At 45.2% G+C, this 2718-nt stretch overlaps 1 annotated feature.

Annotated features, from left to right (window-relative positions):
* Positions 1481-2068: an enhancer, noted in NCBI's record as "NANOG hESC enhancer chr5:100650831-100651418 (GRCh37/hg19 assembly coordinates)". NCBI's record gives its function as "activates a minimal SCP1, AML or CMV promoter by ChIP-STARR-seq in naive H9 embryonic stem cells {active_cell/tissue: H9 hESC(naive)}" and the evidence as "EXISTENCE:reporter gene assay evidence [ECO:0000049][PMID:30033119]".

Below are 2718 nucleotides of genomic sequence, written 5' to 3'. Positions count from 1 at the left end.
GGGGAGGAGGTTCTGGAGGAACCCCTGGCAGCTGCGGTTCAGGCGTTTGGAGTTCTTGTGTGCTGGAGATGTGGCTGGGGTTTGTCTCACAGTGGAGGCAAAGGATTGCAACTCAGAAATATGTTGCTACTTGGCTGCCTCTACTCTATTATTGTACCCCTTGAAGGTGAGGTTAATTACGTCCTGTTGTGGGGTTTGAGGGCCGGAATTTAATTTTTGGAGTTTTATTTAATGTCGGGTAATTGGGTAATAAAGTGTATTTTGAGAATAAGACGGCCTTTTGACCTTTTAGGGTCTAGGGCTGTAAAGCGTCTCAGGGTTGTGCCGAACGAGCCATGAACTGGGCTGGGTTTTTCATATTTGATGAAAGAGCCTAAACGCTCACTGATTTGGGAGAGGTCTGATAAAGAAAAAGGAGTGTTAACCATGACTATGCCTTTAGCCTCAGCCACCTTTTTAAGAGGAAATTGCTGGGCAGGTGGGGGAGGGCTACTCATGGAATGAAACTGTAAACGGGACCGGGTGTGAGGAGGGGAGGTGATAAAAAGATTATAGGATGGAGGAGCGAAGGCTGAGGAAGAATTGGGACTTAGCTTGGCCTGGCGAGGAGCAGCCCGGGGAGGAGGGGCGAGGTCAGATGTGTCTGTAGAAAAGGAAGATTAGAAAGACTTAGCAACACTTGGGGTTGGGACTGAGGGGACAGGTGGGAGGGAAAGAAGGAAGATTGGGACAAGTTGCATTGGGCACAGAGACTAGGAAGGGATTGATGTGTAAAAGAATGCCTGGACGTCAGGCACCTCAGACCGTTTGCCTATTTTACGACAAGAATTATTTAGATCTTGCAGGATGGAAAAATTGAAAGTGCCGTTTTCTGGCTATTTGGAACTACTGTCGAGTTTGTATTGGGGTCAAGCGGCATTGCAGAAGAAAATAAGATGCTTAGATTTTAGGTCAGGTGAGAGTTGAAGAGGTTTTAAGTTCTTAAGAACACAGGCTAAGGGAGAAGAAGGAGGAATGGAAGGTGGAAGCTTTCCCATAGTGAAGGAGGCAAGCCCAGAGAAAAGAGTAGAGACACGGAGAAGGGGTGGGGGGGTTCTTGCTCTCTAGAAAAGCAGAGAAGGGGTAGGGGCACAGAGATACGAGGTCGGGGCATGGAAATAAGGGATCAGGGTGCAGAGATATAAGAGGTTGGGGCATGGAAATAAGGGATCAGGGTGCAGAGATATAAGAGGTTGGGGCGTGGAAATAAGGGATCGGGGTGCAGAGATACGAGGTTGGGGTACTTGCCCCTCCTCCAGAAAAGCGGGACTTGCCGCTAAGGGCAAAGGACTAAGGCAGGCATCCCTGCTTGGTCTGATACCTCTGAAACGTGGGTTAATAATCAGAGAGGTGTCCCTGCAATGATTAAACACCAACGGAAGGCTGCCTTCCTTAGTCCGTGACTGGCACTGGAGTTTTGGGTCCACAGATAAAACGTGTCTCCTTTGTCTCTACCAGAAAATGAAAGGAATTGAAATTAAGAGAAGGGAGAGATTGAAGTGTGGCACCAAGTTTCATGCGCGTCTGTGTGAAGAGACCACCAAACAGGCTTTGTGTGAGCAACATGGCTGTTTATTTCACCTGGGTGCAGGTGGGCTGAGTCCGAAAAGAGAGTCAGCGAAGAGAGATGGGGTGGGGCCGTTTTATAGGATTTGGGTAGGTAAAGGAAAAAGGGGGGTTGTTCTCTGGCGGGCAGGAGTGGGGGGTCACAAGGTACTCGATGGGGGGGCTTTTGAGCCAGGATGAGCCAGGAGAAGGAATTTCACAAGACAATGTCATCAGTTAAGGCAGGAACAGGCCATTTTCACTTCTTTTGTGGTGGAATATCATCAGTTAAGGCAGGAACCGGCCATCTGGATGTGTATGTCCAGGTCACAGGGAATATGATGGCTTAGCTTGGGCTCAGAGGCCTGACACCTAGTCAAATAGATCTTATATTAACTTATCTGTTTTCGTCCGTAGGTAATTTAGTTATTTCCTAATCAGTTCCATTGTGAGTTGGGCTCAAGAAAATCTTGTGACCCAATGTCTTTCTGATTAAAATAATGTGATTGCTGTGGGGCTATGAAGATAAAGACTCTGTTTACAGGGAGACAGTTTTTCTCAGAAGGTTGAGATCCATAACTGCATCTACTACTTCAGGGAAAAATGTAGAAACTTATTTCACACCAGAAAGAAGACAAATTTCTTGGTCTTGAGCCCAGAGGCTTCAGAATGTTGAAGGCAGTGGATTTATTAATGTTGAAGGTGATGGACTCTTGAAGTGTGTAATGTGACGTACCCCTTTACCCCCACCCTCTCAGCCTGGCCCTCAGATGAGATCAATCAGAAGATGAGAAAAAAAAAAACTCCAGGTAAGTTGCCTCTGGGGTTCTGCCAGACCTTGGGTTTGGTAGAGAAAGGCTTCTAAACTTTGAGACAAGTCAGCTCTAGGGAGGGTCAGAATGAAAATTTTAAAGTAAGCAATCACTATTCTTGAAAAATTCATTTTTAGTGCTTATTTCTTTCAAGAGAATGCAGTCGGGTTCAAGTTATATCAGAGTAGAAAAGTGGGAAGACTCTAATCTGGCATTTACTGATTTGGAGATACATAAGTGAATATATATATATATATATATATATATATATATATAAAATAAAATGTATCTCTATATAAATTATACACACATACATATATCT

Source organism: Homo sapiens, chromosome 5 (assembly GCF_000001405.40).
Source record: "Homo sapiens chromosome 5, GRCh38.p14 Primary Assembly".
Classification (NCBI taxonomy): Eukaryota; Metazoa; Chordata; class Mammalia; order Primates; family Hominidae; genus Homo; species Homo sapiens.
This window is presented reverse-complemented; position numbering and strand designations above follow the sequence as displayed.